This window comes from Homo sapiens, chromosome 4 (assembly GCF_000001405.40).
Source record: "Homo sapiens chromosome 4, GRCh38.p14 Primary Assembly".
In the NCBI taxonomy this organism is placed as follows: Eukaryota; Metazoa; Chordata; class Mammalia; order Primates; family Hominidae; genus Homo; species Homo sapiens.
In genome coordinates, this window is record NC_000004.12 from 37955977 (window position 1) to 37981716 (window position 25740).

Sequence of the window (25740 nt, forward strand, 5' to 3'; positions counted from 1 at the left end):
AAAAATAAAAAATAAATATCTTCCCCCAAAATACATATAATCTGCTTCAAATAAACTTTTTTTTTTTTTTTGAAACAACGTCTCTGTCACTCAGGCTGGAGTACCGGTGTCGTGATCTAGGCTTACTGCAACATCTGCCTCCCAGGTTCAAGCCATCCTCCCACCTCAGCCTTCTGAGTAGCTGGAATGACAACCGGCTAATTTTTGTATTTTTTGTAGAGATGGGAGCGGGGGTTCTCCCTGTGTTGCCCAGGCTGGTCTCGAACTCCTGGACTTCAAGCGATCACCCATCTCAGCCTCCCAAAGTGTTGAGACTACAGGCATGAGCCACCACACCCGGCTTAATGAACTTCTAATACACTATGCCATTTAAAAATTTGTTTCATTCGTTGTCTGACTCTCTTTTCACTAGGATGTAAGTTTCCCGAGGGCAGGGGTTTTGGTTTGTTTTGCTCACAGATGTGTTGCCACAGACTAGACAGTACCTGGCCCCCAGTAGGTGCTCAATACATATTGAATGTGAAGTGAATAAACTTCCAGCAGACTATCCTCATTGTGCTTTAACACATTTAAAATGACCAAATGGCTTTTCCCTGTACTTCCATTCTGTGTCTTTTCCCCTTGACCTCATGTGATATGCTCAGGGACGCCAACTAATGTTAGTATTAACTTAAGAAAAGTGGAGTGTAGCCGGGCACAGTGGCTCACACCTCTAATCCCAGCACTTTGGGAGACCGAGATGGGCAGATCACTTGAGGTCAGGAGTTCAAGACCAGCCTGGCCAACACAGTGAAACCCCATGTCTACTAAAAATTAGCCAGGTGTGGTGGAGCACACCTGTAGTCCCAGTTACTTGGGAGGCTGAGGCACGAGAATCACTTGAACCCAGGAGGTGGAAGATGAAGTGAGCAGAGATCGCGCCACCGCACTCCAGCCTGGGCAACAGAGCAAGACTCCGTCTCAAAAGAAAAAAAAAAAAAAGAAGGGAGTGTAGAAATGAATTTCCCCCAAAGAAGCCACTGATGCATGCCACGGTGAAACTTAAAGAATTACTCCTATCCGGTCTTTGGGATTATCTGCACCATGGCCTCCCTCCCCTTACAGGAAGGATCAAGCTGACCACATAAACATTTAGACTCCCTACGTGAGATGGGAGAACATAAGCCCCTCATGAGTTTGTATAATACTCATGGCCACAGTTACACAATGTGGCAGACGTATCTCTTCCTTTCCAAAAGAAGGAAAGAGACAAATGTATGATACCTGATATGACACATGTTTTCATTCTTCACAATCATTAAAGTAATAAATAACACTACTTTTTAGAGACAAGGAATTTATCTGTTGACAGGAATATGTATTGCTGGGCACAGTGGCTCATGCCTGTAATCCTAACACTTTGGGAAGCCAAGGCAGGAGGATATCTTGAGCCCAGGAGTTCAAGACCAGCCTGAGCAACACAGCAGGACCCCTCTCTACAAAACATAAAAAGATTACCTGGGCATGGGGGTGCGTGCCTGTAGTCCTAGGTACTCAGGAGGCTGAGGCAGGAGGATTGCCTGAGCCTAAGAGTTCGAGGCTACAGTGAGCTATGATCACAGCCTCAGCAACAGAGCAAGGTCCTATCTCTTAAAATAATAAAAATAAAAACAAATAAATAAATAATATAGAAAGAGAAGAGAGTTGAGATTCCAAAACAGTCTTTCTGACTCCAAACTCCATTTTTATCCTACACCACTTTTTCATAAAAGTTCAGAACAGATTGTTTGATGTTTTTCTTATTGCTCATTATTACTTTTTAAAAGGTCAATTCTGACATGTGATTTACATTTCCTGACAAACTACATATCATTTTCCTCCCTCCCTTCTGTCTTTCCTTCCTTTTATTCTTCCATTTATAATGCAACAGATGATAGTTTTTCATGGTGTCCTGTAGGTAGTGTATTTTATTTTAAAATACCAGATAAAATTATCAGCAGCCACTTGTGGAAAGCTTCACTGGAAAATATTACTTCAACCATACTTATATGTTTTTTAAAATGCTATTTTTGTTGATCTCTGCTTAGAACAACAGAAACACAGATGGCTACAGTTACTGGATTTGCTGCCAGTTTTTATGCCCCTTTTCTCATATACGTTTATGGCGACCAAGTTTACTTTCAAAAACATATGCTAAGAATAGTAACACATTTTTCAGATTTGAAGTTGTCTAGGAAAAAAGTATGCTTCATATTAAGAAAGAGTCTGTAAGATCAACAAAGCAGATTCATCTCCTAGAAAACCCATTCTCTGAGCAGGCCATTTTCATCTCTAACCAATAAACACCAGATTCCTTAGCTTGGCAATCAAGAACCTTGACCATATCTGGTCCCAGATGATTCTTCATATTTTTTATTTTTGTTCCAAGATGGTGTACTCTATTTTCCAGCAAAATGGGACAGTTAATTTTTCCTCGTAGCCATGCTTTCCTCTGTTTTGTTCATTGTTGTTTCTTTTGCCTGGGGAGATTTCCTCTTCTTTTACTTAAGCATTCCGTCTCTCCTAGCTCCTTCTCTTACTTAAGCATTCCATCTCTCCTAGCTCAAATGCCACCTCCTCCAGAAAGTGTTCCTGGATTAGATTTGCTTTCACACCTCTAGACCTCCTTTATTTGTCCCTTCTTTAGGACACATATATGACATCTTTTACTTTAATTATTTCTGCCCCAATTCAGAGTACTATTAGAAGGCTGTTAATAAAAAATGAATGTGTCGGAAGAGTTGAAAGAAGTTGTTTAATAATAATTCCTGCTAATGGTATAATGAGACAGGATTACAGACAGGTGGCCTGCAAACTTTATTGTAAAAGTTGCCTACCATAGTGTTTGAAGAAAAACAATTCAATTGGAATGCCTGCAGATTGGCACACACACTCTACCCCACCAGTCTCCCCGTTCCCCATTGTCTTCCACTGGCACATCATATATTTACATTCCCTCACTGACTCTGGGTGGCACTTGAATTTACAAGCTCCATATAGAGGTTACATCAATCAGTTGATATACCAGGTCCAAGTCATGGCTCTGTCACTTTCTAGCTAGCTGTGTCAGGTTAAGAGCAAGACTTCTAATGATACCTTTGAATGGCCCTTTGTATTTGAGGTGGCCTTATGCAAATAAACAGGCACAGTTGACCCTTGAACAATGTGAGGGTTAGGGGCGCCAATCACCTGCATAGTCGAAAATCCACCTATAACCTTTGACTCCCAAAAAGCTTAACCGATAGTCTTCCGTTGACCTCACCAATAACACAGTCGACTAACATATATTTCGTATGTTTTATGCACTATATCCTGTATTCTCACAATAAAGTAAGCTGAAGAAAATGTTATTAAGAAAAATCATAAGGAAGAGAACATATTGCATTATTCATTAAGTAGAAATAGATCATCATACAGGTCTTCACCCTCATTGTCTTCACGTTGAATAGGCTGAGGAGGAGGAGGAAGAGGAGGGGTTGGTCTTGCAGTCTCAGAGGTGGCAGCCGCAGAAGAAAATCTGAGAACAAGTGGATCCATGCGACTCAATCCTGTATTGTTCAAGACTCAACTGTATATTTTTGCATATGGGCTCAAATACGTACGCACATATGTCACTGGGTCAAAGATTCATAGAATGAATTAGACAACAAGAATATTTATCATTGAATTGAAATGGCTCACTGCAAAAGTGCCCTCAACTTATCTCTAGGCCTTAGAAACAGAAGTGACCCTTTGCTGCTGTGAATCAATAGCCTGGACTAGATTGGGGTTGGGTTGGCAAAGGTATATAGTCATTGCCATAGTCCAGTATTCCTGCCCAAGCAAGCACCATTAGTAGTCACGTTGCTCAGAGAGGGCCTCTCGGCTCTCCCCACCACTGCATGCTGGATTGTCTGCCACCAGTAGATCAGAGTTGGCAAAAGGGATAACTCGGGATGAAACATTTGAGCATTTTGCAGTTTAGAGAAACTTCAGGGGTGCTGCTTTAGTAAAAAATGGAAGACTTGCATTTATTAAAGGTTAGTAAGAAGTGAAATAATGTATGCAAAAGTACATTATAAATTAGAAAATGCAATAACGGCAGAAACTATTTATTTATTGGTTGCTCTGCCCTTTACCTAAGTGGTTTTTGACCATTTAACAATGTGTAAGAGTTGGGTTTTACCTCCATTTTATGGATGTGGAAATAGGGCTTGGATGTTAGCTAACTTGCCCAAATCTTACAGCTAACAGAAAGTGGTACTCCCGAGATTCCTACCCAGGTTTGTCTGACCTCAGGCCTGTGCTCTTTATATGAGTTCATGCTAACTCTCAGATGATGTGCTAGGCACAAAAATTAGATATTACACCAATTTCCACTATAGTTAACATTCTATCTAAATATAAAGTGGGACCACGGTCTTAGATGAATGTGGCTGTTGAGAGCGGCAATAATCCAGAATGGCTACTCTGATCTACGTTGATAAGGAAATTGGAGAACCAGGCACCCGTGTGGCTGCCAAGGATGTGCTGAAGCTGGAGTCTAGACCTTCAATCAAAGCATTAGATGGGATATCTCAAGTTTTAACACGACGTTTTGGCAAAACATACGATGCTCCATCAGCCTTACCTAAAGCTACCAGAAAGGCTTTGGGCACTGTCAACAGAGCTACAGAAAAGTCAGTAAAGACCAATGGACCCAGAAAACAAAAACAGCCAAGCTTTTCTGCCAAAAAGATGACCGAGAAGACTGTTAAAACAAAAAGTTCTGTTCCTGCCTCAGATGACGCCTATCCAGAAATAGAAAAATTCTTTCCCTTCAATCTTCTAGACTTTGAGAGTTTTGACCTGCCTGAAGAGCGCCAGATTGCACACCTCCCCTTGAGTGGAGTGCCTCTCATGATCCTTGATGAGGAGGGAGAGCTTGAAAAGCTGTTTCAGCTGGGCCCCCCTTCACCTGTGAAAATGCCCTCTCCACCATGGGAATGCAATCTGTTTGCAGTCTCCTTCAAGCATTCTGTCGACCCTGGATGTTGAATTGCCAGCTGTTTGCTATGACATAGATATTTAAATTTCTTAGTGCTTTGGAGTTTGTGTGTACTTGTATTAATAAAGCATTATTTGTTTAACAACATAATAAATACATAAATATAAAGTGGGTCATATTCCTCTTTATGTGCATCTGTCTCAGCTGTCCCTTGTTTCTATATTTCTTCCATACTACAGCCCGTACTCTTTGGGGATATGTCAACATGATTTACTTCTGTAGAGAAACAGGAGACAGGAAATAGCAAAGGATAAAGGAGAAAAGGCCAGGGCCAGGCCAAGAACTTCTACATCTTTTCTTCCCAGCCTAGTGTGAACCAGATGAAAGCCTTAAGGAGGTCCTAGCAGCAAAGGGAGATAATTAAAAGAATGAGAATTTTGTGGAATGCTAAAAAAAAATAGGGAACATATTTGCAGCTAGGACTAACACTGATTATCTTAAAATGTCTATATGGCTAAATAATGTTCATGAAATCCCGTATCTTATTCTGCTAATGTCTTACAACTTAAAGCACTTTTATGTCCATGCCTTGAATTCTGTACAAAGCTTTGATAGAGTCACAGATGTCTGGTGTCAATCCAGATCACCTGAGAGGCTTCAGGGTTTCCTCTCTGGTTCCTGAATTCCAAGACTTAGTGAGTTTCCTAGGCCAGGAGCTGCTATTCATTATACATGTTAGTGGTTTTGCTCTTTCTACTGAAAGTGAGTGGTGGTTATGTCTCTGAACATGTTATTCCACAAAAAGCCAACTAGATGTGGCTATTTAAGAACCATCAAAGGCCATGACAGGCCAAAGTTTCCAAATCCCTCTTCAATCAAAGGATGCTGTCAGAACTGACCTCCAAAAAAGATGCAAGGTCTCAGTCCTAGGCTGTCATACTGGTCCTTAGAGAAGAGTTACAATTTTGTGATCTGCTCCACTCCATTTTGATTTTTGCTTCCATGCTATTTTAAAACTGGAGAAGGTTTAAGTTTAAAAATTCAAGACAAATCATAAAATATTTGAGAATTTACTTGTACATTGCCTGTCTTCCCAAATAAACTGTGGGCCCCATGAGGGCAGGGACCATCTCTGTTTTGTTCACTATGGTGTCCAAGTACTTCCCCCATATCTTGGAGCTGATTCTGTGGTGGGCTGCTCCAAGTAATCTTTATCTTGGGCCAGTAGCCACGCAGGTCAAGGATAAGTTTCCATTAGGTGTGGGCATAAGCTCCTACCCAGCCATTGTCCTCTTCACCAGAAGAACTAAATTTCATCTGTAAAGGAAGACATCACATTCTGTAAATGGTAGGGCCTCATTCTCCTGTAAGATTCATATTTCTGCATTTTGGATTCAAGAACCATAGGTGTATCCCATGGCAAGACAGGAAGTATTACTGGAGTCAGACTCCCTGGGTCTTAACCCTGCTTCCTCTGTTTAATGGATATGCAACCTTGGGCAAGCCGGTAACATCTAAAATTTTACTCTTATAGCTGTTGATAGAGACACTAAACGTTTAAATTTCTAAATGTTTACTGCCATATTTATGTATGGTTATTAGCATAGTAAGGATCTAAATGATATCAGAGTAGAAACTCAATAAATATTTGTTAGATGGATGAATAATTAACCTCTCAGACTTCAGTTTCATCACCTGTAAATAAAGAGGTTTAGCTATATGGTATCTTTGCAGTTCTAATATCCTGTGGACTTAGTTATGTTAGTAGTTATGATATTTTTTATTCTTGGTAATTTTTTCAGGATTACTATAAGGATAATAAGAAGTCAAATTCTAAACTGAAATAAGTCAAGGGAATTGAATAAAAACTTGGATAAAAAAAGAAAGTGTTTTAAAAATCACCCTAAGTCCAATGATCAGCTGGCCTTTGATTTAAAGTGTGTCTGTGGTCAGCCCACGGAAATAGTATACAGCTTCTCTGAAGCTCTTTAACATCTTCATTACAGTCAGTTTAAGTACTTCTTTGGCAATAAACATCAACTTTTTTTCAGATGTCTCTTTGCATATGATGGCCTTGGCATGAGACATGAAACCATTAAGAAAATACAAGCCAGGTCCTCTGCTACAGTCCATAAAAATCATTTAGTTGAAGCTATGCATATTTACTTATTAGCTTACACTCATTTTTAAACTGACTCACAAAAAGTACAGTATTAGGCCATTCTTGCATCGCTATAAAGAAATACCTGAGACTGGGTAATTTATAAAGAAAAGAGGTTTAATTGGCTCACAGTTCTGCAGGCTGTACAGGAGGCATGGCAGTGGCATCTGCTCAGCTTCTGGGGAGGCCTCACAAAGCTTCCAGTCATGGCGGAAGGCCAAGGAGGGAGCAGGCCTCTCACATGGCAGAGCAAGAGCAAGAAAGAGTTGAGGTGGGGGGTGAGGGAGGGGGGAGGTCCAGGTGGGCGGACCACTGGAGGCCAGGAGTTCGAAACCAGCCTGGCCAACATGGTAAAACCCCATCTCTACTAAAAATACAAAAATTAGCCGGGCATGGTGGCACATGCCTGTAACCCCAGCTACTCACTGAGGAGGCTGAGGCACAAGAATCGCTTCAGCCCAGGAGGTGAAGGTTGCGGTGAGCCGAGATCACGCCACTGCACTCCAGCTTGGGTGACACAGTGAGATTCCGTGTCAAAAAAATACCCATTTATGTACTTACGTACAAAATATCTGAAACTGCTAAGACTGGGTAGTAATTACATGGGTGTCTCTTATATTATGCTATTTAAATGTTTTAAAAACATTTAATAATTTTTAAGATCCTAAGAAACAAGAATACTGTAATAAAAAAATCCAATATCGGACTCTACTCCCTTGTAGATTAGGAATGATATCCCTGCTCTTTTTCCCCCCAATGGCTCATTTGTACTTGGCATTTGGTGCCTGCTTAAAACACCAGGGTGACTACAGGGTCCCTGATGTTGGTTAGGGGCCCTCTCTGTAGCTTTCATAGCACCCTCTCTTTTCCTTCTCACTGCATTTATCACCCAGTTGTGCCATTTCCTGTTTCCTTGCTGTATGGGCCTGCTGGACCATAAGACGTTCCTGCAGGGGCAGGTGGCTTGCTTACTATAGCATCCCTGAGGACTGGAATGCAATAGATATTGAGTGGCTGAATGAATTACTGCAATGGTGACTGCAATGGCTTAAGTTCAGTGCTCTGCACACACATGGGCCAGGGTTGGATATGCGAAATTACCACTTGATGAAATTAGTTAAAGCAGCATTTGTTGGCACAGAGAGGCCGTGTGCCCCTTTCTTGGAGTCCCCTAGGCTTCAGTGCATGCACCACAGTCTCACAGTTGGAAAGGAGGGTCGGGGCGCTGTACTTCATGTAAGGTGATTCTAAACCTCGTGCTAGATCCACTGACACATCCAACTCGAGACTCAGGATCCAACTGGACACTCAGGTTCCCATTAGGCTGTGGCGAGGACCAAGCCCGCTGCCACTGAATTTCCTAGGCACTGAGGTCAGGGTTTTCCTGTCCACTAGCCTGACCAGTTTTTCACAGAAAGGACCAATGTGCCTGCCTTCCCGAGATCCGGCAGCACAGCTCCTGCTTTGTCCTGGGTTCAGATGGAGTTTGGCCTGTTGGTCCCAGCGTAGCCTGGATGGGGACAAGGGGCAGCCTACTGCGGGTCTCACTTTCTTATTAGCCCCTGGCCTGGCTGAACCCTTGAGAAGGGCCCTGCTGCCTCAGACCCAACAAGAATTTGCTTCCTTTCTCTCTTCCTTCCTTCCTACCTCATTCGTTCATTTGTTCTTTAGAATCTGCTGCCATTTCATGTCTATTTGTATCTCATCTAGCTAGCATCAGCTCTGTCCCCAGCCTCATGAAAAAGGCCAAGCTCCTTCCCTGACAGAGCCTGCTATTGGCAGGAAGCTGCCAGAGCATGGTGTCTGTCTAGAGAACCTCTCTTGGCCATGCCAGCTCCCTGAAATCTTAGAGCATGAAGCCCTGTGTTTGTAGCAGTTAGGACCTGCTTGGAGGGATGCTGACAGGTGGTCTACGCAGACACTGCTCCACTGTGCCTAGGTGAGGCCTTTGGTGAATTATTTTACTTTCCTGAACCTCAGTTTCCTCATCTGCAAAACAGAATAAGTAATACCTTGCAGCAGGGTTTTAACATAATTAGGGGCTGTGAAGTAAAGTGGTTAAGTTGGCAGAGTGCCTGGGCCTGATTCTGGTTTTCTCCTTTCCCACCTGAGTGCTTCAGTTTCCCCATCCAAAAATAGGTACTCATACTCTCGACCTCATGCGCTGTAAATGCTTTGAACCATGCCTGGTGCATGGTGGATGCTGCCTGAAGGTTTGCTGGTTTTAGCAGTGTCTGGCAGATAGGAAGCACTCAATACACATTATGTTTTATTACTATTACAATTATTCTTACCATCTAGGGTTGGGAGATAGATAATATATGAAAACATCTGGCATGCAGTAAGTACTCAGCGGATATTGTTTTCATCCTTCCTGACCCTTGATCTTGGAGCAGGGGTACCTTGAAGTGGAGGGAGGTGATCCCTGCACTGAGTTGGCATTCTTTTTTATACTTGTGTTGTCCCTGAGAACAAGAACTCTAGATATTTGGAAAAGTTCCAGGAGCATCGGGGCTCTTGTGATATTATGACCTAGAGATCGGTGAGCAGATATGTTTAGTTCTACCTTGACCCTGAGCGAAGGCTGCCAGGTGCAAACCTGTCATGGACATTTATTTATTTATTTATTTATTTTATTTATTTATCTGAGATGGAGTCTCACTCTGTCACCAAGGCTGGAGTACAGTGGCACAATTTCGGCTCACTACAACCTCCACCTCCCAGATTCAAGCGATTCTCCTGCCTCAGCCTCCCGAGTAGCTGGTATTACAGGTGCCACCATGCCCAGCTAATTTTTGTATTTTTAGTAGAGATGGGCTTTTACCATGTTGGCCAGGCTGGTCTTGAACTCCTGACCTCGAGTGATTCACCTACTTCACCCTCTGAAAGTGCTGGGATTACAGGTGTGAGCCATCGCCCCTGGCCATGGGCATTTAATTTAGCGTATATTTCACAACATGCCTGAGGGAAGCTTGGAAGGGACCTTGGAGATCGTGGGCCTAATACCCACAATTTACAAGGTGGAAACAGGTTCAGAGAATGTGACATGAACTGTCTGAGGTCACATAGCTGGTTGCCAGCAGGTATAGGCTAGCAGCAAGCACCTGGACAGCCTGGGCTGCCTCACACAGAGAAAGACTCCACAAATCCATGTGCAAATTGATTGACCCACTTTAGATGACTCCTGACCCTCATCTGAAAGCTGAATTTATCTTCACCTCACCCAGAGCAAAACTTCTGTCCTGTTTGGAAAATTCCAGGTTAGAAGAGCAATGACTCAGACATCACTACTTAGAAGCGTTTAAAAAACTGAGTGGGATCCCCACACAAATGGAAAAGAGAAGCTAAACTATTTCCTTCTTATATTTTCTCAGCCCTTACATCTCCTATCAAGGCCAATGGACATTTTCAATTATGTACCTTCTCTAGCTACGCATAGAGACTAAGATGCAGATGGTGGTTTATTTTATAATCTATGAGTTTCTTTGCTAAGTATACAGACACCTTTTATCTTTTTTTAATTATTATACTTTAAGTTCTAGGATACATGTACGAAACGTGCAGGTTTGATACATAGGGTTTGCTGCACCCATCAACTCATCATTTACATTAGCTATTTCTCCTAATGCTATCCCTCCTCCAGCCCCCTACCCCCCAACAGGCCCCGGTGTGTGATGTTCCCTGCCCTGGAGACACCTTTTATCTAAAGGTTTTCAGAGGGGCATTTGCCTAGGAATTCGGCACTTGGGTCTTATATTCTGGAAGATGAGCTTGCTCAGTGCACCTGAAGATTACACTGAGTTTTACCAGGCACATTCTTCTTGTTGACATGCAAGTACCTGTGGCTTGGTGGACTTTTTGTAGGAATCTTAAGTTACAACAAAGGAAAAAATTCAAATTGTTTTGTGCATTTCTGCAGAGGTTTGTGGCACCATTTTTTTTTCCAGGTGCTTGCTGTGCAATTCGAATCCAAAATTCAGTGCTGAAGCACATAAATTTAGGCTTTGAAAAGAGTGAGGACATTCACAAAGAGCTTCATTTGTGTTTAAAACTTGGCAATTTTAAAGGAATTTTATTAAGATAAAAAAGAGGGCCGGGCACAGTGGCTCACATCTGTAATCCCTGCACTTTGGGAGGGCGAGGCGGGTGGATCACCTGGGGTCAGGAGTTCAAGACCAGCCTGGGCAACATGGTGAAACCCCGTCTCTACTAAAAATACAAAAATTAGCTGGGCGCAGTGGCGTGTGCCTGTAATCCCAGTTACTTGGGAGGCTGAGGCAGGAGAATCGCTTGAGCCTGGGAGGCGGAGGTTGCAGTGAGCCGAGACTGCGCCATTGCACTCCAGCCTGGGTGACAGAGTGAGACTCTGTCTCAAAAAAAAAAAAAAGATAAAAAAGAGAAATTATTTTAGAAGTGGGAAATTATCCTAAATGAAGGTAAACTAAACCACCTTATAAAAAACAGAAAATTTTGATTTACTATAGAAGAAGTGGAAAGAGGAAGTTTGGGTCAGATTTTTATTCACTAATAGATTTGATCAGGAAATAGGAGTTGATTCTTTTCAGTCTTATTTTTGAAGGAGAAATATAACTTTCAGTTTAGAAAAAAAAGTTATTTCTTGATAAAATTAGTGCTCTGTCGAGTGATGCTTCTAATGTTTCCACTATGAATTATAGCAAAATGTCTGAGTTTAAAGCTAAGAGTCTATGTTGAGTTACAGGATGGGGTGTGGGTGTCGAAATCTTGACTCTAAATTTTTACAGTGTTTTCTTTTATGAGCTCAGGACTGCTGGGTTTTTCCATGAATTTGAAACAAGCGCACAGTGTTTTGAAAAGAAGATTATTTGCTTAAACTTTATAGACTGAGCTAAAAATAGAAAAACACCGATTCTATTTTTGGAATGTCTTACAAGCTAAAAAGTAAACATGATTGCTGTTCGTATTGAACAACATACTGAGAACAGATGTTTAAATAGCAAAATGTAATAATTTAGCTGGTTTTGAAATATCACAGCATTTTAATGAATTGATTGCTAATGAAGAGATAGACCTATGTCATAAGTAAATTTCTGTTTCAGCAAGTGTTACTTACAAGGAGAAAAAAAGGCATCCCCAAGCTGGTATGAACTTTACTCTCAAAGGGCTTTGTTACTATCTTCTTGTCTCCTCTGGAGTTGCAAGTTCAGGGGTTCCCTTTTACCCTGCAGTCTTCTTAGTATTTCTGGTGGGACTGCAGCCAGCTATTAATTTTGCAAGGCTTTTGGATACATTTAATGAAGGTGGCTGGGGCCGCTAAAAATGTTCTCATGAAGTCGGCTTGCTGTTATTCTGGCTAACAAGAAACTACAATGTAACGCAGAAAATCAAAACATAAAATTAGAGACCTTGATTCAAATGTTGACATGGATATATCAAGGTAGAATGTTCTTGAGGTACCCACCTGAATTTATAAGGTACTCCTCAATAAGTCCTCACCTAATTTGTTCTTCTACTTCTCCTCTACATTTTCTTTCCTTCATGAACCAATTTATTGAGCACCGTTTGCTCTGAAGACGGTCTTCAAATACTCCGTCTTGTCACCTGAAGATTCATCTTGAATCCGGCATGATTTAAAATGTGAGTGTGGGTGTGTCCTTGAGAGAAAGTGAGCCATGTAGACAGGCAAGGAGGGATTGGAGGTGTGGGGTTGGGAGAGGGAGTGTGAGTTCCATGTGTGAGTGAGCAGGACCCAAGCCTGGGGACGAATTTCTAAACTGTTGAAAGTGTGGCGGGCAAGTGATGCTTGTGTGTACCAAGTCTCTGCCCAGCTAGTATGATAGGAATGTACCAGAGACACTTGGACGATTTGTGGCTTGGCTTATGGAGTTAAAGTAACAATTGGAGCACAGTCTTGCTGTTAGACACAGCAACTCATAAAAAGGGAGAGGAAAATATCAAGACACATCCTGCAGGCCCACCATGCTGGAGTGAATTTTGGCTCACACACAATCCCTTCTCTGATCTTAACTGTGTGTCCTGTCCTATTTTGTGTGTCTATAAACCCAGCTCTGAGCTTGAGGCCTCCAGCCCATCATTTGTTTTACTTCTACATTTAAGACATATCATTCACACTATAATTCCAATATCAATCATTGTTGCTACTACTAATACTATTACTACCACCACTACATCTACAGCCAAAATTTGCTGTGCATCTACTATAGGCCAGTGCTTTATCTGTGTTTTTGTTTGTTTGTTTGAGACAGAGTTCCGCTCTTGTCGCCCAGTCTGGAGTGCAATGGCACAATCTCGGCTCATGGCAACCTCCACCTCCTGGGTTCAAGTGATTTTCCTGCCTCAGCCTCTGGAGTAGCTGAGATTACAGGCATCCACTACCACCATGCCTGGCTAATTTTTGTATTTTTGGTGGAGATGGGGTTTCACCACGTTGGCCAGGCTGGCCTTGAACTCTTGACCTCGGGTGATCCACTGCCTCAGCCTCCCAAAAAGTGCTGGGATTACAGGCATGAGTCACCACACCCAGCCAAAACTATCCCTTTTAAGTGTGGGATCCATTATTACAAAGGCCCAGTGACTTAACTTACCTAAAGTCATTCAATCATCATCACACAGCGGGATTTACCAAAATTAAGATGTAATTTACATTCTGTAACATTTTGGTATTTAGTAAATCCACAAATTTTGGTATTTAGTATATTAATGTAACCATCATCACCATCTAATTCCAAAACATTGTCATCACTGCAAAAAGAAACCCTGCACCCATTAGCAGTCTCTCCCTATTTTCTCCTCTCTCCAGCCCCCGGTAACTACTAGTCTATTTTCTGTCTCTATGGATTTGCCTGTTCTGGATATTTCATATAAATAGAATCATACAGTATGCAGTCTTTTGTAACTGGCTTATTTCAATTGGCATAGTGCTTTCAAGGTCCATCAGTGCTGTGGCATGTATCAGTACTTCATTACTTTTTATAGCCAAATAATATTCCATTGTGTGGATATACCATATCTTGTTGATCCATTCATCAGTTGAAGGGCAGCTGGGTTGTTTCCACTCTTGGGAGTTGTGCTGCTGTGCACATTCATGGACACATTTTTACATGGGCATATATGTTTTCAATTTATGCAGAGGGATTTTTAGTATTAGATTTTCAGGATTTGGTATTATCCTTGGCAAATATGGGTTTCTTTGGAAACAAATTTTTCTGTTTGTAAGAGATGATTGCATATCATCAAACTTACACTAACATTCCCTCTCCACTATGAAGCTCTGATTTCTGTCCTATCTCCTCCTATGCAAGGCCTGATTTCCAGAGAACGTTAATCTTCTAAGCCTTTCTCCATGCGGATCCTTCTTCCTGGAAAGCCCATTCCCTCTCCACCTTCTGTAAATGGCCTGAAACCAGCCAGGAAGCTGGGTTTTCCTTTGCAGCCTGAAGTTATTTTCCTTCCTCTGGGAACTCATCGAAGCTTCACCTGGACTTTGAGGGAAAATAACTTCAGGCTTTTGTCACTCTTTTCCCTGCCTGAGCTTCCCTGCTACCCTCTATGCCCCTTGAGGGCAGGATTCTGGTCTGACTCCATTTTGCTATTTCCTGCAAGGACTTCTGTGGCTTTCCAAAATAGGTGCTAATGAATATTCATATTTGTGAACTGAATTCCTGATCCATTGCCAAGTGGTTCTGATTCACTTGAAACCCAGTTGAACTTCCTTGTAGAGTTTGTATTACAATGGCTCTATTTTTAACCAGGTCTTAGGGTGGGGAGGAGCAAGCTGGCAGAGTGAGGTCATTCTTTTGCATGTGTCCCTGCCTCACTGGCCCCCCCCACTAGAGGGCAGCCTGCCTGGCATCACCTCCTAAACTTACAGGAGGTTTTGCCGCCCTTGCTTCTTGTTCCTCCTCAAAAGAAGAAATTGGCAGAAGAGCTGGGGCAGGAGTGTCAGGGTTTGTTTTGGTGGGGATATGGTCAGGCTTAGTAGGGAAGCAACTCTTCCAGTTCCCAGACCGGCCCCCCTGCCTTTCAAGTCCTCCGTTAATGTCTCAGGAGTGCTGAGATGGTGAGACATTAAAGCATCCTTTTAAAGTTACTTAGACAACAATTTGAGATTTCTGTAGGGATACTGTATTAGTCTATTCTTATGCTGTTAATAAAGACATACCTAAGACTGGGTAATTATAAAGGAAAGCGGTTTATTGACTCACAATTCCACGTGGCTGGGGAGGCCTCAAAATCATGGTAGAAGGCAAGAAGGAGCAAGTCACATCTTACACGGCAACAGACAGGAGAAGAATTGAGAGCCGAACAAAAAGGGTTTTGCCTTATAAAACCATCAGATCTCATGAGACTCATTCACTACCATGAGAACAGGATGAGGGAAATCACCCCCATGATTCAGTTATCTCCCACTGTGTCCCTCCCACAACTCATGGGAATTATGGGAGCTACAATTCAAGATGAGATTTGGGTGGGGACACAGCCAAACCATATCAGATACTATCGTGTTTAGATCTCTGCAGTCCTATTTGGATAGCCTATTGCTTTCCACAGAGCAACTATATATATATATTTTAAAGTAAAGGATCTAAAACTGTAAGAGTGGTTCTTGATCCTGGCTGATAATCAGAATCACTTGCTAGAATATATTTCTAAGCTTTAAGTAAACCCAGAGTCAACATTATGGGTCAACACCAATAATGACCTCTGTGGCTGAATTCAGTGGGCTGACACATTTGACTTGGCTAGGTGGAGTGTTTTAATAATTGAGAATGCATTCTCTAAGATGCTGTAGTTACTTCATTCTTTATCCTCTCACACCTTGCCCTCTTCACACATTTATATGACCTGCTTGCTCTTTGAGGTCTCTGAGAATTTGACCTTTGCTCCAAAACAGCCCAATCATCTGAGACCCTCTACTCTCTCTCTCACTTGGCCACCTTCCCATTACAGGTGACTCTGATAGACAATCAGGGCTGGAAACTATCAGTGTCTTTGAGCAATGACTATTCTGTCTGCAGAGGTTCTCAATTCTGACTGCATGAGAGAAACACCTTGGAGATGTTAAAAATTACTGATGCCTGGCTGGGTGCGGTGGTTCATGCCTGTCATCTCGCACTTTGGGAGGCTGAGGCGGGTGGATCACCTGAGGTAGGGAGTTTGAGAGTAGCCTGACCAACATGGAGAAGCCCTGTCTCTACTAAAAATACAAAATTAGCCAGGTGTGACAGTGCATGCCTATAATCTCAACTACTCAGGAGGCTGAGGCATGAGAATCACTTGAACCCAGGAGGCGGAGGTTGTGGTTAGCTGAGATCGTGCCATTGCACTCCAGCCTGGGCAACAAAAGGGAAACGCCGTTTCAAAAAAAAAAAAAAAAAAAGATTACTGATGCCCAGTATACGTACAATCCTTTCAGGGTAGCATATGCAGTTCCTTGTGGGAAGGATATATTTTTCAGATGGGTGGGAGAGTAGTATTTTACAGAAAATAGTGTATTTGAATAGGCCAGGCGCAGTGGCTCATGCCTGTAATCCCAGCACTTTGGGAAGCCGAGGCGGGCGGGTCACCTGAGGTCAGGAGTTCGAGACCAGCCTCAACATGGAGAAACCCCGTCTCTACTAAAAATACAAAATTAGCCGTGCGTGGTGGTGCATGCCTGTAATCCCAGCTACTCAGGAGGCTGAGGCAGAAGAATTGTTTGAACCTGGGAGGCGGAGGTTGCAGTGAGCTGAGATCGCACCACTGCACTCCAGCCTGGGCAACAAGAGCGAAACTCCATCTCCAAAAAAAAAAAAAAAAAAGAAAATAGTGTATTTGAGTATAGGATTAGATTTTCTGATGTTAAGTTTCCTTTTGATGGAATTCCAGATTATAACAGAAAATGTCTTTGTGCAGTGTGACTGGCAAGCTACATGCTGGTAGTGAATTAAAATAAGAGCTGTCACGTATATTTCTTAAAATATTTGGTGTTAGAGCACCACACATTGCTATCAAATCTACCCAATTCAAAGGCTCCTCCTACTTTCCCATGAGATTAGTGATTCTGCCTACTCCTGGATTAGGAAGGAAGACTTGGATCAGAGAAAGACCCCTGTGTGCCTAAAAGATAACACAAACCTTAGACAAATTCTAACCCAGACTGCAGGAGCCTCTACCCTGGATGTGTATATACTGAGAATTGGATCCAGGTTTAAACAATGAACCCTTCATGTCCTTATTTCACCTGCCTGCATACGTTCCCGCTGTTAACTGTTACATTGAGGATTTGGCCTGTTTTTTTGCAAGAAATGCAGTTTTTATTCCCCTAAACCTAATGTAATTTTCACTTTTTGGCATCTCTATTTTCTGTGGTGGAAAATTTATCTTAGTCATAGGTACTTCAGATTTCCTTAGTCAATTCTGGGTTCTCCTCATCCTTTCCCCAGAATTGCTTCTAAGTTCTGGGCATTTTTGGAGAGTTTCGTGTAGGAGTTGGAGTGATGGAGTATGATGACATTTGTCCTGGGTTCAGCTTGTCCAGTCTGGTCCTCAGCTGACCATCCACTCACATCAAAACTATGTTGTTGCCTGATAACTCTCTAGGTCGCTCTCTAGCTGAACTGGTTCATACCAGCCCAAGAACACAGGACAGTTTTGGCTGCTTTCTCCAGGGCCTATTGGTCAGTACCTTTTAATCATTAACGTTTTAAGACCAATGTTAATGAATCTCATCTACTAGTGCTTCTCAAACTTTAATGAGTATACCAGTCACCTGGAATTTTGGTAAAATGAAGGTTATGATGCAGTAGGTCTAGATTAGGGCAGGGCCTGAGATTCTGCATTTCTAACCAACAGCCAGTTGCTGCTGAGGCTGCTGGTCTGTGGACCACACCTTGAATAGTAAGGTTGTAGAGTCTACAAGCATTCTCGCTCTAATGGAACTGTCAGCCTCCATCTCTTCTAAGTGTTTGGGAAAGTGATGTGGTAACAGGGAAAGATTTGGCTAAATGGCTGCAAATGCACTCCCTTTTCCACCTTCATTAAGCAGGGAATATCACTGCTTAAAAGTGAGAGAATAGTACTTCCCTAGGATGCGTCTAAGGCCCTTTTCAAGGGTGGCCTCTGTTGGAATGATGTCACTTTTTTTTTGAGACAGGGTCTTGTGCTGTCACCCAGGCTGGAGTGCAGTGGCTGAATCTCAACTCACTGCAGTTTCGACATCTAGGGCTCAAATGATCTTCCCACCTCAGCCTCCTGAGTAGCTAAGACTACAGGTGTGTGCCACTATGTCCAGCTAATTTATTTTTATTTTTCCTTTATGTAGACATGGGGTCTCACCGTGTTGCCCAGGCTGGTCTCGAACTCCTGAGCTCAAGTGATCCTCCCATCTTGGCATCCCAAAGTGCTGGGATTACAGGCATGAGCCACCATGCATGGCCTGATATTACTCTTGACTTTCTCCATGCTGTTTTTTTTGAGACAGAGTCTCACTCTGTCCCCCAGGCTGGAGTGCAGTGGCATGATCTCAGCTCACTGCAACGTAGGCCTCCCGGGTTCCAGTGATTCTCCTGTCTCAGCCTCCTGAGTAGCTGGGATTACAGGCGCATGCCATCACGCCTGGCTAATTTTTTGTATTTTTAGTAGAGACGAGGTTTCGCCATGGTGGCCAGGGTGGTCTTGAACTCCTGACCCCAGGTGATCTACCTGCCTTGGCCTCCCAAAGTGCTGGGATTACAGGCATGAGCCACCACGCCCAGCCTCTCTATGCCTTTACGGTTTTATCTATTCCTATGCACCAGATAAAACCACAAGGGTGGAAAAAAGATGAAACCCTATCATCCCCTGTAGGGTCTAGCCCCACAGGGTTGGTGGGTTTTTTCCCCGTGTGCAGAGACGAGAGAGTGTAGAAATAAAGACATAAGACAAAAAGATAAAAGAAAAGACAGCTGGGCCCGTGGTACCACTACCACCAAGATGTGGAGACCGGTAGTGGTCCCGAATGCCAGGCTGTGCTGATATTTATTGGATATAAGACAAAGGGGCAGGGTAAGGAGTGTGAGCCATCTCCAATGATAGGTAAGGTCACATGGGTCACGTGTCCACTGGACAGGGGGCCCTTCCCTGCCTGGCAGCCGAGGCAGAGAGAGAGAGAAGAGAAAGAGAGAGACAGCTTACAACATTATTTCTGCTATCAGAGACTTTTAGTACTTTCACTAATTTGCTACTACTATCTAAAAGGCAGAACCAGGTGTACAGGATGGAACGTGAAGGCAGACTAAGAGCGTGACCACTGAAGCACAGCATCACAGGGAGATGGTTAGGCCTCTGGATAACTGCGGGCAGGCCTGACATCAGTCAGGCCGTCCACAAGAGGTGGAGTAGTAGAGTCTTCTCTAAACTCCCCCGGGGAAAGGGAGACTCCCATTCCCGGTCTGCTAAGTAGCGGGTGTTTTTTGTTGACACTAACACTACCGCTAGACCACAGTCCACTTGGCAACAGGCGTCTTCCCAGATGCTGGTGTTACCGCTAGACCAAGGAGCCCTCCTGGTGGCCCTGTCCGGGCATAACAGAAGGCTCGCACTCTTGTCTTCTGGTCACTTCTCACTATGTCCCCTCAGCTCCTATCTCTGTATGGCCTGGTTTTTCCTAGGTTATGATTGTAGAGCGAGGATTATTATAATATTGGAATAAAGAATAATTGCTACAAACTAATGATTAATGATATTCATATATAATCATATCTAAGATCTATATCTAGTATAACTATTCTTATTTTATATATTTTATTATACTGGAACAGCTCGTGCCCTGGGTCTCTTGCCTTGGCAGCTGGGTGGCTTGCCGCCCACAATCCCCCATGATCCTCTCCTTTTGATATTCATGTCCTTATATTATCTCCTCCCCTTAAGTGTGGACTAGACTTATGTCTTTGGTTTTTCACAAACAGTAATAGAGCAAAAGTGTTGGGATGTCACATCTTAATTCATAAAACACTGTTTTTGGATTTGTGCATTCTCTTGGATCACTTGTGCTGGGGGATACAAACTGCCATTTTCTGATCAGTGCTATGGAAAGAAACAGCAAGAAACAGAGGCCCTGAGTCCAGCAGCTTGCGAGGAACTAAATACGGGCAACACCTATGTGAATGAGCATGGAAGTGGATCCTTCAGTCCCAGGCCAGTCTTGAGATGACTCCAGCCTCAGTTAACAGCTTGGCTGAAATTTTAGGGCGACTTTCAGCCAGAGCCATCCAGCTAAGATGCTCCTGGATTTCTGACCCACAGAAGTTGTTTGTGGTTTTAAGCTTCTCAGTTTTGGGGTAACTTTTTATACAGCAATAGGTAGCTAATACCCTCACTAAACTCAGATGCCAGATATTTAGGGAACAACATTAAAATGTCCCAATGGTCCTTCAAGAAGATAATGCACAATTAGTAGAAGGAAAAGAGAAGCAGAATTCTTGGGCTGGGTTGGCCATTTGGCCTGAGGAACTCAGTGAGTGGTTCCACCTGACACATGCATAACACATCAGCGATTAAACCTTTGGACTTTTTTTTTTTTCAACGTGGAACTCAGGAGTGGCTGGGATTGAAACTCAGCTTTACCTTTGTAGCCATAAACTGACCACCTTGTCTCATCATCTTGCCTTGGGAGAGAAGAAAACTATGGTGAAATCAACATTTCTCAAGTTGCTAAAGCCTCCTGGCAGGCAGGAGCTAAATGGTTCTTTTTCCTCTGCCCCACTTTTGGTCTCAATGGCCGAGTTTCCTGACTCCAAGAAAACCACCTTTGATTATATAAAGGTATTAGGGGCTGGGGAACACTGGTCTTTTGTTACTAGCAATCTAAAGCGCTTAGGAAGAAAAGCCCTGGGGGTGGGGGTCACCCCTGGAAAGTTGGGCGGGCTTTGTGTTAGCTCCAACTCTGGGGCTTTTGTGGAACCTCGGAGAGGGAGGAATTCTTAGATTTCTGAAAGTTGTGCGAAACGGACCCCAGAGGCCTGGAAAGGCGCGTCCCCAGCCTCCAGGGTTTCCTGCGCAGCCCTGGGCATCTCGGAAGGGGGCGACCCCAGCATGTCCCAACTTCCCGCCAGCAGCGGAGCGCGGGGGTGGGCGGGGTCGGCTGCGCGCCCTCCCCTCCTCTCCCCTCCTCCCCCCGCCCACCCCCTCCCCGCGCTCTCCCCTCCCACTTCCCTTTCTCTGCCTGGCCGCCCCGCGGGCGCGACCTCTCGGGGCAGTGACGAACTGGGTGGAGCCCGCCGCCGCCGCCGCCGCCGCCGGGGAGAGCGATGCCCCGGCCCCGCCGCTCCCCAAGCCCGCCCCCGGCCGCCCGCGGGCCCACGGGCCGGCGGCGGGAGTGAGCGGGAGCCGGCGGGCGAAGAGCCGCCGCCCGGCCCGCGATGTCACCATTGTTCAGCTGGGTGGCCAAGGTAGGCGGCGTCGGGCGGGCGCCCGTTACCGGAGCGGAGCGGCAGGCGCGGGGCTGGAACATTTGTAACCTTCGGGCCGGGGCTGGGCCGGGCCGCTGGAGGCCAGGCGCGGCGGGGGGCGAGCGGCGGGCGCGACCAGGTCGTTAGCCGCGCGTTTCTCATTCATTAGTCTCCCAGATCCCTGTGGGGAGGACGGGCGAGGTAGCGGCGCCCATTTCACAGTTGGGGAGACTGAGGCTGTACTCGGGGACCCCTGCGGGAGCCCGAACCCAGCAGGCGGCTCCTCCGGCCCCTGTCGCTCCCCGCGCCGCGGAGCTGCCGCTCGGTGCCTCCCCGGCGCGGGACCTCGCGGAAGTCGACCCCGCGTGTCTCCCTCGCGGGTGTCGCCCTCGTGTGTCTCCCTCGCAGAAGTCGGCTTGCGCTGGGCCGCCTGGACAGGGCGCCGAGGATGCCCAGAGGCTGGTGCCCACAAGGGGCGTCTGTCTTTCGTTTTTAACCCTCTGGTTTCAAAGGGCATGTTCTGAGGTCTGAGTTTTAAATAGAAGTTTTTAACTTTCCATTCCCACAAAGTTTTATTTTCAGAACATCAGCGCCTTCGAGATAACTGGGTGGTGCAAATCCAGGCCAGTTGCACTGTTGCTAACAGGAAGGCATAAGTGTAGATTTCCCGAGTTCCCACCAGTTCGAGAACACAGTAATAGCATCAATAGCATTCTTTTTATCCACTCCTGCAGTGCCAGGTGTCTGAATGTGTTTTAAAGGATGCGACCCTCGCCACCTTGAAAGGCTCGCTGGTCGTTAGGGCATCTTGCTGTCACCCCATGCACTCAGTCCCTTGGCCGGCGCCTTCCCAGGGCTTGTTTCCTGTGTATGGCTGGTTGAGTAATAAGCTCACAACTCGTTAGCCATACTGTGAGGCTTTACCAATTAATAATTTAATTAGGTGGTGGTTATGTCTTGAGTTATCATGCAATGCTTTTATAGTCTTATTTAATTACATTTTTATGAATACCTGTTTGTGAGCAGGTATGGCTTTGCCTGTGATTTAAGTGATACAAAATTGGAGACACAGAAACTAGATAACACTAGTTTTTAGATGGGCAAAAGTTTTTAGGTAGATTTTCTTACTAGGTAAATAACATTCCATTAGAATCACTTCCTGAAACATAGCTGGTGGTAAAATGAGATGACTTTCAAAAACGTTTTGAGTCATTAAAAAGTCATTTCAAAAACCATCACAGACTTTTAGGACGATTGTTAGCCTTCTCCGAGTGTCAGTACGTTGGAAAAGTTTATATAGAGGAAATGTAGGCTGGTAGCTTAATTTGGATTCTGAATCTTGTTATTTCAAAATTATTATTTTTGAGACAGAGTCTTACTCTTGTCACCTAGGCTGGAGTGCAGTGGTGCGATCTCAGTTCACTGCAACCCCCACCTACCAGGTTCAAGCGATTCTTGTGTCTCAGCCTCCCCAGTAGCTGGGATTACAGCTGTGCGCCACCACTCCCAGCTAATTTTTGTATTTTCAGTAGAGATGGGGTTTTGTCATATTGGCCCGGCAGGTCTCGAACTCCTGGGCTGAAGTAATGCCCCCACCTTGGCCTCCCAAAGTGCTGGGGTTACAGATGTGAGCCACCACACCCGCCCTCAAAATTATTATTTCGATTACAGGACAACAGCGGAAAAACTATTAAATGTTTTTGGAGCAAATTCATGTATACCTCTTAGCATACATTTTTAAAATGTGGTTATTTTATATTTCATTTCCTGTAGGTGGTGCATGCATTACAAATTATATCCCGAAATTGAATGATTTTTATAGATAACGTGTTATCCTGTGAAAGATTTTAGAATACGAAATTAGTCTTTGGAAGTTTATTTCTTGGAGTTATAGATTGTAAGAATGATGTTCTATGGAACTGATGTGGTTTACGGTGAAGAGGCAAGTCATTAACACACTTTACATTACAAACTAGGTAATATCCTAAAGACAAAGACAAAAGGCATAGATAATGTACACAATGTGAATAATCTTGAAGTTGTTATATTTGACTTCAGAATGCCCCTTCAGAAACACACAGCTGCACATGAGCACAGGCCTCACACAAACACCTGCACATCCAGTTACGCAGCTGACTTTCCTTTTCCTTTTTCATTTTGACCTTTGCAACTGCAGCTGAACACCTGGTGGGGAAGGAGAAGGGGTGGGTGTCGGTTGATTCACATGGATACCTGAGCACGAATGTGTTTTTCTTTTTTTTTGTTTTGAGACAGAGCTTCGCTCTTGTTGTCCAGGCTGGAGTGCAATGGCACAATCTTGGCTCACTGCAACCTCTGGCTCCTGGGTTCAAGTGATTCTCCTGCCTCAGCCTCCCGAGTAGCTGGGATTACAGGCTTGCGCCACCACCCCCGCTAATTTTGTATTTTTAAATAGAGACAGGGTTTCTCCATGTTGGTCAGGCTGGTCTTGAAGTCCCGACCTCAGGTGATCCACCTGCCTCGGCCTCCCAAAGTGCTGGGATTACAGGTGTGAGCCACCGCCCCCGGCCAAGCATGAATGTGTTTTTCTTGCACGATGCATTAGTATTGTGTGAATATTGAATGTGTAGAGTGGGCAATTTCATGATGTAGGAATAAAGCCAAAACGGGAGAGTTTTGTTTTAAAGAGATTATCTGTTTAAAGAAGAAAGAAAAACATAAGATGTACTTTTAAAAAAAATTGGACATGATCTGGAACATTAGGGCAGGTGTACATTGCATCAAGAATGTGGCTGGGCTTTATAGCAGTGTGATTTCTTGATTAGTCTTTCAGTGGGGACACTTGACTTTTTACGCAGTTTATAAATAAAACTGAACTTCTCAAGCTTTGTGATTTTCATAGTAAACTCACAGATGTCCCCAACAACCTGTCAGTTTTGAGTATATCTACTGTTTCTATGCCTCCATGTATCTGTTAGTCAAAACTGACTGCAGCAGAACTGCCAAGTAACTTCCAGAATTTATTTGGATTTGCACCTGCTTATAAAGTTTGTAGCTAAGATTATTGCTGGTATCTCAAGTTGGTAGATTTTAAATATACATATGTCAGTTTATGAGAAAAAATGGAAAATGAGAACTAAATATAGCCAAGTTTGCTGTGTTTCAAATCCAAGTATAGTTTCATATAGTTTATGGTGTGTATTAAGTATTTACCTTATGAATAAAGTACTTAACTGTGTATTTAATGTATTAATTAAGGCATTTAACTGTGTATTTTCCAGTGCTCATTCAACAAGTGTTTTATTAGGTACTTTTTGTATATAAGCAGTGTTTATGTCCTGGAGGAGTTAATTCACTCTGCACAATAGATTATCCTTTAAAAAGTGTGCACCCTGGAGATTTGTAAATTAAATATTTAAAGATGCATTAAAAAAGGAATCTTTTTTTTTTTTGACCCTGAGTCTCACTCTGTCGCCCAGGCTGGTGTGCAGTGGCACGATCTCGGCTCACTGCAACCTCTGCCTCCTGGGTTCAAGTGCTCCTCCCACCTCAGCCTCCCTAGTAGCTGGGACTACAGGCATACACCACCATGCCCAGCTAATTTTTGTATTTTTAGTAGAGACAGGGTTTCACCAGGTTGGCCAGGCCGGTCTTGAACTCCTGACCTCAAGTGATCTGCCCACCTCCGCCTCCCAAAGTGTTGGGATTACAGGTGTGAGCCATTGCATCCAGCCCACAGAATCCTTTTGTAAAGCAAGTAACTGATTGCTAATTAATATTTTATGTAAAACCAGGTTTTCCGTATTTGGGCATTACTTTTAAAACATTGGTTTATCTAGCCACCATTCATTCAACAGGTCATTTAACAAATGTGTTCAGTGCAGATATTTATGGATAACCTACCTATAATAGGTACTATTTGAGGAGCTGGGGATTTAGCAACCGACAAGCAGACCCCTGTTTTCATGGAATTCTAGATGGGAGAGATAGCAAAGCAGCAAGCAAATAGGTGAACAAGATTATTTCAGATGGTGATCAGTGCGAGGAAGAGAAGTAAGTGGCTCCGGGCTGGGGTGGTGCAGGGGTGGCATTCCATCTGACTGGTGAGAGGGCAGGAAACATGCTCCAGGCAGGCCTCAGGGAGAAGGGAGGTATGGCTGGAATATATCCAGCTGGGTGCACAGCACTGAGCTTTGAGTGGGGAGGGG

The 25740-nt window shown here is 43.9% G+C and overlaps 2 protein-coding genes across 28 annotated transcripts in view, besides 4 other annotated features; both read left to right on the forward strand.

Annotated features, from left to right (window-relative positions):
• The window catches only part of TBC1D1 (TBC1 domain family member 1), a 248090-nt gene that overhangs the window by 64893 nt on the left and 157457 nt on the right, over window positions 1-25740 (forward strand). For 9 of the 27 annotated variants that reach the window (XM_047449897.1, XM_047449891.1, XM_005262649.4 and 6 more), the window contains exon 1: window positions 21316-21553. The exons of the other annotated variants lie outside the window; for them this stretch is intronic. Coding sequence is in view for 8 of the 9 variants with exons in the window: in XM_047449891.1 (XP_047305847.1) it covers window positions 21524-21553 (30 nt within the window). In the remaining variant the exon portion in view is untranslated. Of the gene's footprint in view, window positions 1-21315; window positions 21554-25740 lie in introns of those variants that run through there. 27 annotated transcript variants of the gene reach the window in all.
• PTTG2 (pituitary tumor-transforming 2) lies at window positions 4422-5152 on the forward strand. The gene has a single exon (NM_006607.3). The coding sequence runs from the start codon at window positions 4459-4461 to the stop codon at window positions 5032-5034; it is 576 nt and encodes a 191-aa protein (NP_006598.2). The 5' UTR covers window positions 4422-4458; the 3' UTR covers window positions 5035-5152.
• Window positions 21213-21282: a silencer, noted in NCBI's record as "silent region_15354". NCBI's record gives its function as "represses an Ori minimal core promoter by ATAC-STARR-seq in GM12878 lymphoblastoid cells {active_cell/tissue: GM12878}" and the evidence as "EXISTENCE:reporter gene assay evidence [ECO:0000049][PMID:35858748]".
• Window positions 21353-21472: a silencer, noted in NCBI's record as "silent region_15355". NCBI's record gives its function as "represses an Ori minimal core promoter by ATAC-STARR-seq in GM12878 lymphoblastoid cells {active_cell/tissue: GM12878}" and the evidence as "EXISTENCE:reporter gene assay evidence [ECO:0000049][PMID:35858748]".
• Window positions 21593-21642: a silencer, noted in NCBI's record as "silent region_15356". NCBI's record gives its function as "represses an Ori minimal core promoter by ATAC-STARR-seq in GM12878 lymphoblastoid cells {active_cell/tissue: GM12878}" and the evidence as "EXISTENCE:reporter gene assay evidence [ECO:0000049][PMID:35858748]".
• Window positions 21663-21962: a silencer, noted in NCBI's record as "silent region_15357". NCBI's record gives its function as "represses an Ori minimal core promoter by ATAC-STARR-seq in GM12878 lymphoblastoid cells {active_cell/tissue: GM12878}" and the evidence as "EXISTENCE:reporter gene assay evidence [ECO:0000049][PMID:35858748]".

What these genes read in the sequence shown, in the direction of transcription:
- PTTG2 (NM_006607.3), top strand. Translation starts at nt 4,459, where the DNA reads ATGGCTACTCTGATCTACGTTGATAAGGAAATTGGAGAACCAGGCACC.